The following is an 18,289-nucleotide window of genomic DNA, read 5'->3' as shown; positions in this document are numbered from 1 at the left end:
GAAGGGACAGAGGTTTTATTTATTTTCTTTTTTTTTTTTTGAGTTTTAGATCCCACAAATAAGTGAGAACATGTAATGTTTGTCTTTCTGTGCCTGGCTTATTTTACTTAACAATGATTTTCAGGTCCATCCACGTTGCAAATGACAGGATCTCATTCTTTTTTATTGCTGATTTTAATTGGATATGTAATATCTTAGAGATGACTGTTTGAGGTACATTTTCCTAGTTACACAGTGGGCCATTTCAATGTGTTGATTCACATCTTTTATTTCTGAAAAGTATTATTGGATCCCACTTTTAAATATTGGTTTTACTGTGTTAAAATTGGTTTATTTCTTATTTCAAGGCCACGCTTATATCTGTGGGATCTTTTTTCTCTCTAATTTGTATTTTTTTAATCTTGGACATTTGAATTTTTCTCCTTCCTTTCCAATCATGTGCTGGTAAATGTTTAATAACACCTATGGAATAAAATCCCTGATTTATAGCATTTGCAAATTCCAGTGGTGTAAATACTCCCATTATGACTAATGTCCACCTACCAATGGGATGTCACTGAACACAGCGTTGAGAAGATACACACAGAATTTGCTCTGCCACGTTGGTATGAGTTGGCTCCAGTACATCATTCATTCCTCTCGTAGTATTTCCAACTTAATTTATTCTCTATTGAGTACTTTGTAAGTTGGTTTGGAAGGGGTGACTATGGGATGATCAGGAGTTACTTACCATTTTTCCTGAAGGCACTTGTGTGGGTAGACAACTCAGAACTTGCAGAGAAATCTGAAAAGCCAAGCATATCCATCCAGTGAAGTGGGACCAAAAGCTGGAGGTCATAGACCACTTTATGAAAATTTATTGCCTCTGTGTAGCCACTGGCACTGATAGTCTATAGCCAAGTATCTGGTGGTGTGCTTAGGGGTACTGTTGGTCAGCAGGGACCAGGGTTAGGAAATGAGGTTGAGGTGGAGTAAAGGAGATCAAAGACAAATTAGAACTCAGTCTTGCGTCTGCCACTGTGTTTGACCACAAAGACCTTCAGAGAATAATGGCTGCTGCTTCTCCTCTACCTTCCATATATCATGCAGGCTCATCTTTTGATAAATTAATATGGAAGCACTCAGGGAAAGGGATTCTGGAAAATGTAGCACCCACTAAAATGACAGTAGTACAACTCAGCACAATTTCTGGCTTGATTTTTTGATTTTTTTCCTCCAATTTATTTTCTGATTTCAGTTAATTCTTATTTCACATCTTCCTGTTTTTTTTTCCCTTTCTGAATTTATGAATTCCTTTTTTTCTTCACCATCGTACCTTATGCTTTATTTTCCATAGAGCTTGTTTCCACCCACACCTTCTCTGGTCTCATCCATGCTCATTCCAGGGTCCAGGATCTCAGGTCTGGGGAATTTATGAATTTCTAATTTGGAGTGTCTTTTTTTTTTAAACCATACAAAAAATTTTAAAGGCTATATAGTTCATGTTGGGTTGAGGCATTGTGATAGAATGTTCCACTGTGTAAAGTCAGTTTTTTGGGAGTTTTTAAAAGATCGTCAGCTGAAATGTTGCATTTTTTGTATGCTTTTTTAAAAATATGATTTTACTGCTGTATTCTGTTCATTTTGAAATGTTATACTTTCCTGGGCCAGCTATAGCAAATGGTTCTATGTAAGTGAGGGTGAGAGGTTTGAGTGGCTTATGTGGTACAGGAGTGCCCTCTTTGGTTGGCATAATGAAATACATTTTCTTCATTAGAAGGCCCTTTTTTTGGTGGTGGGTGAGAGCATTGGTATGTCATTTGACTTTATAATTCTCTTTTAGAACTCTTTTTTAAAAATTTGCAACTTTTACATTCAGGGGTACATGTGCAGGATGTGCGGGTTAGTTACCTAGGTAAATGTGTGCCATGGTGGTTTGCTGCATAGATCATCCCATCACCTAGGTATTAAGCCCAGCATCCACTAGCCTTTCTTCCTGATGCTCTCCCTCCACCCACCCCAATAGGCCCCAGTGCGTGTTGTTCCTCCCCATGTCTCATTGTTCAGCTCCCATATAAATGAGAACACGTGGTGTTTGGTTTTCTGTTCCTGCATTAGTTTGCTGAGGATAATGGCTTCTAGCTCCATCTGTGTCGCTGCAAAGGATATGATCTCATTCCTTTTTATGGCTGCATAGTATTCCATGGTGTATATGTATTATATTTTCTTTATCTAGACTGTCATCGATGGGCATTTGGGTTGATTTCATGTCTTTGCTATTGTGAATAGTGCTGCAATGAACATACACTTGAGTGTAACTTTATAATAGAATGATTTACATTCCTTTAGGTATATACCCAGTAATGAGATTTCTGGGTCAAATGGTATTACTGCCTCTAGATCGTCGAAGAATTGCTATACCATTTTCCACAATGGTTGAACTAATTTACACTCCCACCAACAGTGTAGAAGCGTTCCTTTTTCTCCACAACCTCGCCAGCATCTCTTGTTTTTTGACTTTTTAATAATCACCATTCTGACTGGCATGAGATGGTATCTCATTGTGGTTTTGATTTGCATCTCTCTAAATATCAGTGCTGTTGAGCTTTTTTTCATGTATTTGTTGGCTTCATATATGTCTTTTGAGAAGTGTCTGTTCATGTTCTTTGCCTACTTTTTAATGGGGGTTGTTTTTTCCTTGTAAATTTAAGTTCCTTGTAGGCTCTAGATATTAGACCTTTGTCAGATGGATAGATTGCAAATATTTTCTCCTATTCTGTATGATGTCTGTTTACTCTGTTGATAGTTTCTTTTGCTGTGCAGAAGTGCTTTAATTAGATCCCATTTGCCGATTTTTGCTTTTGCTGTAGTTGCTTTTGGTGTTTTCATCATGAAATGTTTGCCTGTGCCTATGTCCTGAATGGCATTGCCTAGATTTTCTTCTAGGGTTTTTACAGTTTTGGGCTTTACATATGAATCTTTAATCCATCTTGAATTAATTTTTGTATGAGGTGTAAGGAATGGGTCTAGTTTCAATTTTCTACATATGGCTAGCCAGTTCTCCCAGCTCTGTTTATTAAATAGGGAATCCTTTACCCATTGCTTGTTTTTGTCATGTTTATTGAAGATCAGATGGCTGTAGGTGTGCAGTCTTATTTCTGAGGTCTCTATTCTGTTCCATTGGTCTGTGTGTCTGTTTTGGTACCAGTACCATGCTGTTTTGGTTACTGTAGCCTTGTAGCATAGTTTGAAGTCAGGTAGCATGATGCCTCCAGCTGTGTTCTTTTTGCTTAGGATTGTCTTGGCTATTCAGGCTCTGTTTTGGTTCCATATGAATTTTAAAATAGTTTTTTCTAATTTTCAAACTTCAGTGCTTATTTTCCTTCATCACAAAGTCTCCAAAGGATGCCTCACGTTCCCTTGGGATTAGTGCCTTCTCAAGGCTGCCCACTCTTGTCTGAAGCACTTTCAAGCTACTGCCTTTCTATTCCTCAGTAGATCTTAGATCCACCAGATCTCAGTGTTTCCCCACTAGGGTGGGACTCTGTTTCGTAGGTGCTTTTTTCAGTGTTTTGTTGTTGCTAGTCCCTCACTGCACTTTACTGAGAGCAGAGCAGATTATGGCAACACAATACAAAACCTCTCAAGATTACAACAGAGACTATATTGAATGGGACAAATTCTCCTGCTTTTTAAAATGTAAAATGGATAGTTTAATCATGATTAATAATGAATCTAAATATCCTTAGTATCTTCAATCCAAAATTTTCTGGAGATTTGAAGTCAAACAATATAGCATGTGTTCTGATTTATGAATGAATAAATTGAAATAATGCATTTATTCTTGTTATTTTTATTATACATGTTATAGATTATAGGTAAACCATGTTTGTATGGGGGTTCATGTGCTTCACATGAGTTATTGTGCTTTCTGCTTTCAAGTGACCATTATCTTTTATGTCTCGTACAAATATCAAGGGAGATGGGCTTTGAGAGGTGAGAGGGTGAGTTTGAATAGAGGCAAAACCTTGCAGATACCCAGAGAAGCTCTGACTACTTCTAACTGGGGGCAAGTTCACAGGTTAAAAAAGAAGAAACAGTTGTGACATACTTACATGATTATATTTAACTAAGTAATGGTTTTAAAAGCTGCCAAATTCTTAATATAATTGTGTTAACCACAAGATTTATATGAAATTGCATGACAAGTGATGTGGCCCTGGAAAGACACTAGTTTGAATGTTTTTTCTCTCAGTGCTTTGAGTATATTTCTCTAATTATATGCATTACTCTTAAAAATGCCAAAAGTGCTTTCTAGTTTGACATGTAAAGAGCTCAGAAGTCATCACTTGCATCTTGACAACAAGAAAAAAAGCTGAACAAACTGAAAATCAAAAACTCTTCTTGGATCCCTCACAGAATGGAGATCACAGGGCAAACTGCTTTCTAAAATGGAGAGATAATCTGGCAGATACAGTTAATCACAGCTTACTAGTAGCAGAAGACCAGAAACAGAATCCACAGTTGAAGCCACTATTGGTAGGAGCAATTTAAACTGTAATTGACCAATTGCTGGAGGGTCATTGAGAGTTAAAAACTCCAAGGACTTACAGGTTTAAGAGGACCTCTCCAGTTTTTCCAATTTCACCCTCAGGAGCCCTGCCAAGTTTTCACTGTGAGGACTGCAAAAAAAAAAAAAAAAAAAAAAAAAAAAAATCTTGTTTCAAGAGATTTTCAGAATGGAAAAACAACGCTTCTGAAATATACAAAAACTCTTTTTTTGTCCTGCTGTCAGGGAAAACTAATTTGTCAGAGCCTGATTGGAGCTTTACCAAAGCCTACCTGACCAAAGAATAGTGGGTGGGATGGATGGGGTAGGGAAGAGGAATATCCATCCCAGATGCACTAAAAGACTGACACGTAATCATATGACTATAGAATTCTTCCTCTCCTCCATATCTTACCACCATATCAAGAAGGCTTCTGTATAACAACAGGGTATTATAGCTGAAAGAACTGCAAACTTCGGATCCTAATTAAGGAGTTTACAGGGACACCCAAGGACAACATGGAGAAAAAAAAAAAAAGACACTAGAGAAAGTGTTAGCATTTGACACCACAGCTGCAGCAAACAGTAAACACTGTCTAATTGCTAGCCAGATAAACATAAAACCTCACACTAAAGGCCTATTTGCCTCAGTTCCTTTTATCTGATATATCATGTTTGCTTTAATAAACAATTACAAGGCATGCTAAAAGGCAAAAATCAGAGTTTGAAGGGACAAATCAAGCATTAGAAACAGTCAAATATGAGAGATTTTGAAGTTTCAGCCAGCAATTAACTAAATAATTATTTTATCCGGGAATTTAAAATAACTGTGATGAATATGATAAGGGCACCAGTAAAGTGTACAACATACAAGGACAAATGGGTAATATAAGCAGAGAGAGAGAGAAAAACTCTAAGAATCAAAAAGAAATGTTAGAAATAAAAACCATAGTAACAGAAATGAAGAATGCCTTTGGGCTTATCCATCAGAAAATTGGACATGGCAAAGAAAGAATTAATGAGCTTGAAAATATGTGAGTAGAAGTTTCCTAGACTAAAATGCCAACAGAAAAAGAAACGTTTGTAGTTTGTGGAATAGTGCAAGGAATAACAACACTGGTGTAAGAGATGGGAAGAAGGAATTGGTAATACTCTGTTATACGTTACTTGTACTACACATGAGGTGGTATGGTTTTATTTGAAAGGGAACTGAAATTAGTCATAAACATATTTTGCAAACTCTAGAGCAATAACCAAAAATGTTTTTTTAAAGTATAAATGATTTTTTAAGAGATAAGAGAAAATGGAATTATACAAAATGCTCAATTAAAACTGGAGAAGGCAGAAAGAGACAAAAAAGAAAGAACAAGGGCAACAAGTAAAAAAGAGTTACAAATGTGGTTGATAATAATCCAATGATAATAATAGTTACTTAAAATAGGAAAGGTCTAAATTTATCAGTTAAAAGACAAAGATGTCAGAGTGGATAAAAAACCCCACTATATGTTATCTGCCAGAAACCCACTTTAAATATAATAACACAGATAGATTAAAAATAAAGGGATGAAGATATACTAACACTAATCAAAAGCAAGCTGAAGTAGCTATATTAATTTCAGACTTCAGAGCAAGAAAAATTATGGATAAAGAGGGGCATTACATAATGATAAAAGGGATCTATTCCCTAAGAAGACATAATCATTTTAAATGTGTATGTGTCTAACAACAGAATATCAATATACATTAGGCAAAAATGATAGAACTGCAAGGAGAACTAGATGAGTCCTCTATTATAGTTGGAGATTTCAACACCACTATGCCAGTAATTGACAGATCCAGCAGGCAGAAAATCAGTAAGGACATAGTTGAACTGAACACCACCATCAGTCAAATGAATCTAATTGACATTTTAGAAAATACTTCATACAACAACAGCAGAATACATATGTTTCCGACGCACACAGGGAACATTCACAAGGTAGACCGCGTTTTGAATCATAAAAAAACCTTGACCAATTTAAAAGAATAGACATCATATAAGTATGCTCTCAGGCCATAATGGCATTAAAGTAGGAATCTCTAACAGAAAGATGGCTAGAAAATCCCAAAATACTTGTATACAAAAAAAGCTCTAAGTAACACATGATCAAAGAAGTGTGAAGAGAAATTAAAAAATATATTGAACTAAATAAAAACATTTTCATTTACAACCCATCAAAATTCGTGGGATGCAGCAAAAGCAGTGCTCAGAGGCAAATTTATAGCATTGAGTGCATGTATTAGAAAAGAATCCAATAAATTAAGCCTCCACCTTGTAGACTAAAAAAAAGGACAAATTAAATCCAAACTAAGCAGAAGAAAAGAAATAGTAAAAATCAGATCAGAAATAGTGAAATTAAAAACCGGAAAACAATAGAGAAAACCAACATCCACATGTTGGTTCTTACAAAAGATCAGGAAAATTCATAACTACCTAGCCAGGCTAATGAAGAAAATAAGAGAGAAGACACAAATTATTAATCATAAATGAAAGAGGAGCCATCACTGCTGATTCCATGGACATTAGAATAATGAAAGAAAATTATGAACAACTTTATGTCCACAAATTTGATGTTACATAAAATGGGTCAATTCCTTGAAAGACACAATCTACCAAAATTCACACAAGGAGAAACAGATAATCTGAATAGGTCTATATATATTAAAGAAATTGAATTAGTAATTAATAATCTTCCAAATAAAAGCACAATGCTCAGATTGTTTCACTGGTGAATTCTACCAAACATTTAAGAAAGAAAACATAGGAATACTCTATAATCTATTTGAGAAAAAGAAGCAGAGGGAACACATTCTAGTTTATTCTATGTGGCTAGGATTACCCTTATGCCAAGACCAGGTAAAGACGTTTCAAGAAAGAAAGTCTACAGACCAATATTCATCACGAATATAGATGGAAAAAACCTCAGGAAAATATGGGGGAACTTCAAAAGTTCATGGAATAAACGGAACTAAAAGATGAAAACGAGAAATATAAACTTTATTAACATAAACTCCATCAAGTTCAAGATACCTTTGTAAGCAATGATACTAGCCATTTAGTCTATTTCTAAAGAACTGAGGGTCCCAGAGATTTAACCATGTCAATTCAATATTTTTTACATTATTCAATGAAGAAAAATGAGTGCCCTTTAAATATATTTTTAAAATTAGAAAACAAAAAGAAGTCAGGAGTCAAAACAGGACTGTAAAGTGGATGCTTAATAAGTTCCCATAGAAATTCTTGCAAAATTGCCTTTGTTGGATCAGAGGAATGAGTAGGAGCATTGTTGTGGTGAAGAAGGACTCTCTGGTGAAGATTTCCCGGGCTTTTTTTTTGCTAAAGCTTTGGTTAACTTTCTCAAAACACTGTCACATAAACAGATACTACCCTTTTGCCCTCAAGGAAGTCAAACATAATGCCTTAAGCATCCCAAAAAACTGTTGCCATGACCTTTGCTCTGGATTGGTCTGCTTTTGCTTTCACTGGATCAATTCCACCTCTTGGTATCCATTCCTTTGATTGTGCTTTGTCTTCAGGATTGCACTGGTAAAGCCATACTTCATTTTCTGTTACAATTTTTCAAAGAAATGCTTCAGGATATTGATCCCACAAGTTTAGATTTTCCATCAAAAGCTTTAATCTTGTTTGCTGCTGATGTGGGTACAATAGTTTTGGCACTCATTAAGTGAAAAGTTTGTTTAATTTTTCGTCAGAATTGTGTTTGCTGAATCAATTGAAATGTTTATAGTGTGGCAATTGTTTCTGCTGTTAATTGTTGGTCCTCTTCAATTAGGATGTGAATAAGATTAAGTTTTTTTCTCACAAGTTGATGTGGGTGGTCTAGTCACTGTGGGCTTCACCCTTAACATGGTCTTATCATTTCTTAAAATGAGTCATCCGTTTGTAAACTGCTGATTTCTTTGGGTCATTGTCCCCATAAACTTTTCAGAAAGCATCAATGATTTCACTATTCCTCCACCCAAGTTTCACCATAAATTTGATGTTTGTTCTTGTTTCAATTTTATCAGAATTCATGTTGCTCTGATAGGGGCTCTTTTCAAACAGATGTCTTATCCTTTTTGTTAATGGTTCCTTAAATTAGCTCCTGTTTAAGTATGTTGTAAGAAGTTAGCATGAGTTGATTTTGATGTAAAAGTTTTTGAAATGCCTGAATAGTTTTTTTCATAATAAATATTTTCCATGAACCTTTAAAGACCCCCTCTTAGGAAATTAAATCTAACAATGTATACAAAGAATTATATATAATGCCAAGTAGAACTTATTCTAGGTGTACAAGTATGGTTTAACATTGGAAAAATCACATCAACATACTAAAGAAAAATTATATAATCATATTAATAGATGGAGAAAAAACATTAGACAAACTCCAACACCTCATTCATAATAAAAAACTTTCAGCAAAGTAGCAACAGAAGGTGCTATGGTTTGGATATGGTTAGTTTGTTCTCACCAAAACTCATGTTAAATTTGATCCCCAATGTTGTGAACTGGGACCTAGTGGGAGGTGTTTGGGTCATGGGAGTAGATCCCTCATGAATGGCTTTGTGTCATTCTCCACAGTAGCAAGTGAGTTCTCACTTTGGTGAGACTGGATTAGTTCTCACATAAATGGATTAGTTCCTGAGAAAGTAAGTTGTTAAACTTTTTGACTTCTTTGGTTTTGCTATCTTGTTTCCTCTCTCAGCATGTGATCTCTTTGCATATGCTGGCTCCTTTTCCACTTTCTGCCATGAGTTGATGCATCCCGAGCTCCTCACCAGGTGCAGATGCTCAATCTTGAGCTTTCCAGCCACCCGAATCATGAGCTAAATAAATCTCTTTTCTTTAATAAATTTCCCAGTCTCAGATGTTCTGTTTTAGCAACAAAAAACAGACCAAGACAGAGAAGAACTTGCTCAACTTGATAAAGAGCATGTGTAACAAATACAGAGCTGACATCATAATTAATGGTGAGAAACTGGGCACTTTTCTTCTAAGATTGGGAAAAAGGCCAGGATGTCCCTTCTCACCATCTCTGTTCAACATTGTACTAGAAGTCCTAGCTAATGAAATAAGATAAAAGGAAATAAAAGGTATGCATCTTGGGAAGAAAGAAATAAAACTATGTTTGTTTGAAGACAACATAATTGTCTATTCAGAAAATACCAATGAATAAACAAAAAACCTTCCTGGAGGCCGGGTGTGGTGGCTCACGCCTGTAATCCCAGCACTTTGGGAGGCTGAGGTGGGCAGATCACAAGGTCAGGAGATCGAGACGATCCTGGCTAACATGGTGAAACCCTGTCTCTACTAAAAATACAAAAAATTAGCTGGGCTTGGTGGCAGGTGCCTGTAGTTCCAGCTACTCAGGAGGCTGAGGCAGGAGAATGGCGTGAACCCAGGAGGCGGGGCTTCCAGTGAGCCAAGATAGAGCCACTGCACTCCAGCCTGGGCGACAGAGTGAGACTCCATCTCAAAAAAGAAGAAAAAAAAAACCCTCCTGGAACTAATAAGGGATTATAGCAAGGCTACTGGTATAAAGTTAATATATAAAAAGTAATTGCTTTCTTATATATCAGCAGCTGAAATTTGAAATTAACACAAAATCATTGACATTAGAACCAAAATAATCTTAGGTATAGATATAACAAAGTGTGTATAAGATCTATATGAGGAAAACTACAAAATTCTGATAGAAGAAATAAAAAAATTTAAGTAAATGGAAAGACATTTCATGTTCATGGACAGGAAGGCTCAATCTTGTTGAGATGTCAACTCTTCCTAAATTGATCTATACCTGCAACACAATCCCAGTAAAAATCCTTGCAAATTATTTTGTGGATATCAACAAACTGATTCTAAAGTTTTATATGGAAAGACAAAAGACCCAGAATATTCAATAAAATATTGAAGAGGAAGAGCAAAGTCAGAAGACTGACACTACATGGCTTCAAGTCTTACTATAAAGCTTCAGTAATCAAGACAGTGTGGTACAGGTTGAGTGTGCCTTATGCCAAATGCTTGTAACCAGAAGTGTTTGGAGTTTTGGATTTTTTTTGGAGTTTGAAATATTTGCATATAGGTACATTGAGACCTAATCTGAAAATCTGAAATTTGAAGTGCTCCAAGGAGCATTTTCTTTGAGCATGAACTTCGAGCATTTTGTTAGTCTTAAAAAGTTTCAGATTTTGAGGCATTTCAAATTTGAATTTTTGGATTAGGCATGCTTCTTTTTTATTGGTAAAAGAATAGACAGATTGATGGGACAAAATAGAGAGCCTAGAAATAGATCCACAAAATACAGTCACTGGTCTTTGACAAAGAAGGAAAGGCAATACAAAGGAGAAAGAATAGTCCTTTCAGCAAATGGTGCTGAAACAACTGGATATCTAAATGCAAAAAAAAAAAAAAAAAAATCTAGATACAGACCTTACAGCTTTCACAAAAATTAAAATGGATCACAGGCCTAATTTAAAATGCAAAATTATAAAACTTCTGGAAAGTAACAGAAAATTTAGTTGACTTTGAGTTTGGCAATGAGTTTTTAGATAAAACACCAAAAGCATAATTAATCAATGGAAGAAAACATTGAGTTAGTTTTCTTTATTATTATTATTTTTTCTGAGGCAGGATCTCGTTCTGTCACCCAGGCTGGAGTGCAGTGGTGTGATCCTAGCCCACTGAAACCTCCGACTCCCAGGCTCAAGTGATTCTTGCGCCTCACCCTCCTGAGTAGCTGGGTCTACAGGCGTCCACACCCATGCCTGGCCAATTTTTTGTATTTTACTAGAGATGAGATTTCACCATGTTGTCCAGGGAGTGGTCTTGAACTCCTGAGCTCAGGCAGTCTGCCCACCTCGGCCTCCCAAAATGCTAGGATTACAGGTGTGAACCACTGTAACTGGCCAGTTAATTTTCATTCAAATTAAAAATTTTGGCTCTGCAAAAATTAATTTCATGCACTGTTAAGAGATTCAAAAGACAGGTCACAGACTGAGAGGGGATATTTGCAAAACACATATCTGATAACAGCTTGTATCCAAAATATGCAAATAATTCTGAAAATTCAACAATAAGAAAACAACCCAGTAGATGCTTCACCAAAGAAAATATACAGATGGCAAATAAGCATATGAAAAAAAGCTTAGCATTATAGTCATCAGGAAACTGAAAATTAAAACAACAATGAGGTACCACCACACACCTATGAGAATGGCTGAAATCCAAAAGACTGACGATACCAAAATGCTGGTGAAGACGTAGAGCAACAGGAACTCTCATTTACTGCTGGTGGGGATGCAAAATAATAAAGCCATTTTGAAAGACACCTTGGCAGTTTCTTATAAAACTAAACATAGTCTTACCATATGACTCAGCAATTGGGCTTCTAGGTAGTTACTCAAGTGACTTGAACATTTACGTTTACACAAAAAACTGCATACAAATGTTAATAGTAGTTTTATTCATGATTGTGACAATTTGGAAGCAAACAAGGTATTCTTCAACAGTTGAATGGAGAAACAATATCTATACAATGGATACATTTTAAAATCACTAATATTCCATTGTATTATTCCATTGTATGAATCTATACAATGGAATATTATTCAATGCTTTAAAAACTATGAAGCCACAAAAAGACATGAAAGAAACTTAAATACATATTGTAAAGTAAAAGAATCCAGCCTGAAAAGACAACATATAGTATAAATTCAACTATATAACATTTAAGAAAATGCAACACTATAAAAACAGTAAAAATGTCAGTGGTTGCCAGGGTTTGAGGAAGGAATAATAGGTGGATTACAGGGCATTGTTAGGGCGGTGAAACTATTCTGTGTGATATGGCAATAGCGGATACACGATGTTATGCATTTGGCAAAAATTACAACATAGTGAACCCTAGTAAACTGTGGTCTTTAATTAATAGTAATGTACCTGTGGTCCTTAATTAATAATAATGTACCAAGATTGGTTCATCAATTGTAACAGATGCACCACACCAGTAGAAAATGTTAATATTTGGGGGAAACGAGAGTCAGGGAAGAGAGTGTGGGTACTCTCTGTACTTTCTGCTCAGTTTTTCTGGAAACCTAAAACCCCTCCCAAAATAAAGTCTATAAGAATATGCTACAGAGACTTGTGGATCTTTAGTTTGGGCCAAACTGCCCTCCTGGACCCAGTCTGTGATGGGCCTTGAAATAGGAACTTTGAGAAGCGGGGATGAGGGGTGGAGTGGGGGAGGTGGGGGGAGTTGGGATGGCGGGTCTCACTTAACATCCCAGCCACCATGACAGAGTGGCACTAGAATCTGGGACTTTAACACACACCAGGCTTGCTCTCTTGAAGTTATTTTTTTGCTTTCAGGGGGTGAAAGGAAGATTATGTACTACAAATTAAGTAGCCATGCCAAAACTCAAATTAAAGTTCTGACAATGACACTCTAGGCTTTTAGTTACATATGATTCTTGTTGTTTCTAAGGGCACTCCTTTACGCCTTTGGAGAAAGCCAACAAGATAAAAACACATGACTTATCAAAGGTTGTGACTTGCCCTGGAAGAATTTTTTTTTTTTCTTGGAAGCTGCCGTTTCCCTCAGGAACCCTCACTGGATCGTGTAATTCGTGTTGTTGTGCCCCATATGGGGATTCGGCTTTTCTGCTTATGGGAGTTTTGATAATGCAAGTCAGGCTGAGCATTTAGCTAGTGTCTCAGCAGGCATGTTTGTCAAATGCAAATTAACATATATAATCTTAATATACTTCCAGTAACTGATTTGGTATGTGCTCTGTTGACAAAGGAGTCTCCCAGGTAATACATGTTGAATGCTTGGAAATAGGGAATATATTTATACCTCAGTCAGAAAATTAGCTCCTAAAGCCAAGCTTTCAGTAAAGAGACAGTGGCTATTTTGTTATTTTTTTTTCAAAACTCTAGATGGTTAGTTAACTAGATAAAAAATAAAATACACATATATTAAAATTATATCTTTTTAGTTGAGTTCTCATTAAAGAGAAATTTGCTTAAAAATAAAAAAATGAGTATATTAACTCATTTTAGGATAACTGTATTACTCCAATTTTAGTATATGTGCTGCTGAAGCGAGCACTTAGGATAACTGCATCATATATCTTTATTTCTTTTTCTACTTGGAGTTTAATGTAAATATATTACAGTAAGAAATAACCTCACTAATTGAGTAATTGGCTCAATGGCATGGGGAAATCCAGTTAACAGCTAAAGATGTTTATGAAAAAATTAGGCCAAGTTGGGTAGATTGCTTGAGCCCAGGAGTTTGAGACCAGCTTGGGCAACACAGCAAAACCCTGTCTCTACAAAAAACACACAAAAAAGTAGCCAAGTTTGGTGGTGTGTGCCTGTGGTTCCAGCTTCTGGGGAGGCTGAGATGGCAGGATCACCTGAGCCCGGGAGGTAGAAGTTTCAGTGAGCTGAGATCACACCACTGCACTCCAGCCTGGGCAACAGAGCGAGATTCTGTCTCAAAAAAAAAAAAAAAAAAAAAAAAAAAAAAGAAATGGAATGAATACATAATGTAAATACTTTGAAGACATAATAATGACAAATAGCCAATTAAAAATCCTGACAGATTGGCTTTAAGGAATAGAAAAAATATATTGTCATTGTTACACTCAAAGTTAGCAGGCCAGAACGTTTCTCAAATACTGTTATCTGATTAATCAATTAAAATAACATTTTTGTTTACTATGCTAGTGCCATTTATTTGTCAAGAAAGCTTTTCAAATTTGAACTTCAAATTAGCGTATGTCTAAATCAGTTTCTTAACAGTGGCACTATCGACATTTTAGTTCGGGCAATTCTTTATTGTGGGGAGCTATTCTGCACATTGCAGGATATTTAGTAGTATCCTTGGTCTCTAAGTGCTAGATGCCAATAGCATCCCCCGCTCCAGGTATGACAAATAAAAATGTCTGCAGGCATTGCTACATATCCCCTGGAAGGCAAATTTGCTTCTGTTTGACAACCAGTGGTCTAAATTATAGGAATATCCAAAACAGAGCAGTTAAAATAACCAAGTCTTACTGAACATATATTCTACAATGAACATGGAAGAAAGGATGCTTTTAAATCAGAGTCAGTGTGTAAATAGACCAAATTTGATGTTACCTAGTGCTCATTCCAAGGACTGAATTTGGGTGACCATAGCAAACTATTTGGTTCACATAAACTTTTAGTTTCCTTGGCTGGGTTTGGTGTATAACCTGTCTGCTCCAGGATAACTTGGAACAGACTGTAATATTCAACATAATAGTTCAAGGATACCCATGTTGACTAAATATATTGTTGATTTAATTACTGTGGTTTTGAATAAAAAATTTAGACCTCTTCTTTCTGAATAAGTGCTTTACCAACATTTTTCTTGTAGCTCTTCATCACTCTAATGACACTTTCACTAATTCAAAAAAAGTAATTTGCCTCCAAAGCCTGATAATTTCAATTAACTGCTTTGATCAAGGAAGGATTTACACATCGTTGCCAGTCGGGCTGATTGCTCATTCAAGGGCTTTAATTGTTCCTTGGCTCATTTCTTTTTAAGAGACATTTGAACTTGCCTTTTTTTTTGCTCAGTAGTTGTTTGGCAGCTTCCCAAGGTAAGCAAGGGTTGACTTAGTTTACGGAGGATTTTTGCCTCTCCTTGATATCCATTCCTTCTCTCACTTCTCTGGGTCCAGGTCTCTTCCTCTGAGAATGTACTTTGATTTCTAACACTAACAACATAACTTTAGGAGCTCAAGTGAGGCTCAGGGCAGTGAGAATCATTAGTTTTTATTTTTTGTTGGATCTTGTTGAACCACTTTCAAGTAGACTAAGAGAACGACCAATGTGGGGCGTATTGAGTCTAAGGGTTGGGTGGGTAGGGGGATGCTCAGTGGGTGGCCAATCATTTTAGCTTGCCTGGGACTGAGGGGCTTTCCAGGACATGGGGCTTTTATTGCTAAAATCAGGAAAGTTCCAGGAAAACTGGGATGAGTTGGTCACCCTAGGAATACTATTGCGATCCAGATGTCTTGGGATTTGGCAGCATGTGAACTCAAATATGACCACACAGCCATCAATACCTAAAAATCGATAGCCCTGGGTCTCCTCTCCCATCTTACAATGGTAAGCACTTAGTGTCCTGAAATTCTCTCAGATTTTTGTAGGAGTCTCCAGAGAGTGACTCATTCGTATCCATAAAGGAGGGCTTTTCTCTCTCTGTTTTCTTTTTCCTTTCCTTCCTCTTTAACTTCCTGGCCGTGGCTTGCAGTCTACAAACTGCCTAAAGAAGTGCCTCTATACGGCCACTGTTGTTGGAAGTGTCCGTAAAACGCTGGCCCACTCCCAGACCTTGCCTCTCTGTTGCTTTCGTGGGGATAGTTTTTCTCTTCTGGGAGATTCCAAAGCCTTCAGGTTATTAAAAATGCTCAGAGTCACAAAGTGCTTTAGCTTCTGGGCTCCCTTCAGCACTCTTGGCCAGTTCTTAGACACACTCAGTTGCACTCTTCCTATACCGGAAGGCTTTTTCTTCCATTATTCTTTTCTCGCTCTTTTACTTATTCAAAAGCATTCCTGAACCTACAAAGCAGATAACAAAAAATCCCCATGCACACTAACCCACACCATGGAGGGGGGGTGTGGTCTTACTCCTCTTATACACTCACTCAGAAGCTTCTTTTCTGCTGAGCCAAACCACTGTCTTACACAACCATGAAGTGGGAGGATTTTCCAAACTCACCATGGGCTTCATCTCAGCCTCCAATTGCTTAATTGAACCACTCATAGCCCCCATGACTATATGGCATGAGTCTTGGCTTTTGTGTGTGTGTCAAATCCAAAATTACTAGGAAGACATCAGGACAGAAAGCAAGAGGTCAGAGAGATGCTGTCCATGGTGCTGCAGCAGTGGTTGGAGTACAACTTTAAAGTACAGACAGTCCCTGACTTAGGATGGTTTCACTTCCAATTTTTCGACTTTATGATGGTGCAAAAGCAATACACATACAGTAGAAACCATACTTTAAGTACCATTACAGCCATTCTCCTTTTTCATTTTCAGTACAGTATTCAGTAAATTACATGAAATATTCAATACTTAACTATAAAATAGTCTTCACGTTAGATGATTTTGCCCAACTTGAGCCCAAATTTGAGCATGTTTAAGTTAGGCTAGGCTAAGCTATAATGTTTAGTGTTCAGGTGTATTAAATTCATTTTTGACTTAGAATATTTTCACCTTACAATGGGTTTATTGGCACATAACTCGATTGTAAATTGAGAAGCATCTGTACTCAATTATAGGGCAAGTATTAGTGAGTCAAACTCTCATTTCCTCATTAGCCACCCCCATCCAGCTTGAATCATGTTTTTTTGTAAAGATATAAGATGTAAAACGAGCTATCAGTTAGAAGGATTTTGGCTGCAAGTAACATAAATTATTATCCAAACTGGCTTAAGCAAGTAGGACATTTATCATCTTATAGAGCAGCAAGTCCATAAATAGGGCAAACTTTAGAGTTGATTGGCTCAGTGGATCAGAAATAGCAAGAAGCCAGATTATCTCCACATCTGTGTCATATCATCCGTACATGATTTCACCTTCTAATTCTTCTAGTCACAGATAGGTGCCAAAAGAGATTGGGAAAACTTGTGCCCTTGATTTAATCCATTAGGAGAACCAGAGAGGAAGAGGAAGATAGAGACATGAGGGAAGAGAGAGGGAAGAGGAAGGGAGAAATTATTCCTCAAATACAAATGTAATTTCTTCCATTTAATCTTACTGGGTCAATTTTGGTCATATGCTCACTCTGATCAGTAAGAATCACCAGGAAAATGCAGTCGTTGATTTGTTTAGACTAATCAGAATCAAACTCAGAGTTGGAAATGGAGTAAACTTCCCTGAGTCACATGTGCTACATGAGAAAATGATTGATAGTTGAACAAAATTGGGACTCCTTTAGGAAAGAGGAAGAAGGGAATGGAGGCCAGGTAGACAACTGACAGAGTTCCCTACAAAAATAACTCCATTTTATGCTATTTCTCTATCTCTGTGATGGACCTAGTACTTTGGCAATAACCTTGTAACAACTTTGGTAATACTCTTACAATTTGGCAGAGTAAAGAGTTCAAAGAGGATGGGTTTGGGAGCCCTATGGACATGAATTTCACCAATGGCTTTGCTGTCTTCTTCAGAAAAGTGAGGTCACCTCCCTGAGCTTCTGTTTCCTTATCTGTTAAATAGATTAATGCTATTGACTATGGAGCATTGTTGTGGGTATTTAAGACATAATGTATATAAAGTATGTTCTCAGAACCGGGCACCTAGTAGCTACTCAAGAAATGTTAGTTTTCAGCTCTTTCTTCTCCCCTGCCTTAACAAGTTGGGAATATAACTACCTATTGACTTCGTATCGTCACCACTCTTGGCCAGCTCTTAGACACACTCATTTGCGTGTCCCATTTTCAACTGCATTGCTGGGCTGCGTTGGGCCATCCAGGGGGCCAATAGGGAGGGTTATACGTCTAGCATCACTGTCCAAAAAATGGAAATCAATGGTGTGTTATGCACCTCTTCACTATGTGATGTTGGGTAGTTCAATCCCTCTATAGGTGACTGCCCTACAGTGTCCAATTTCTTGTGTATCTGATCCTGGCACAAGCACAGGTTTGGGGTCAGAATATGTGGAATCTGCTACTTGAATATT

Source organism: Homo sapiens, chromosome 2 (assembly GCF_000001405.40).
Source record: "Homo sapiens chromosome 2, GRCh38.p14 Primary Assembly".
Classification (NCBI taxonomy): domain Eukaryota; kingdom Metazoa; phylum Chordata; class Mammalia; order Primates; family Hominidae; genus Homo; species Homo sapiens.
This window is presented reverse-complemented; position numbering follows the sequence as displayed.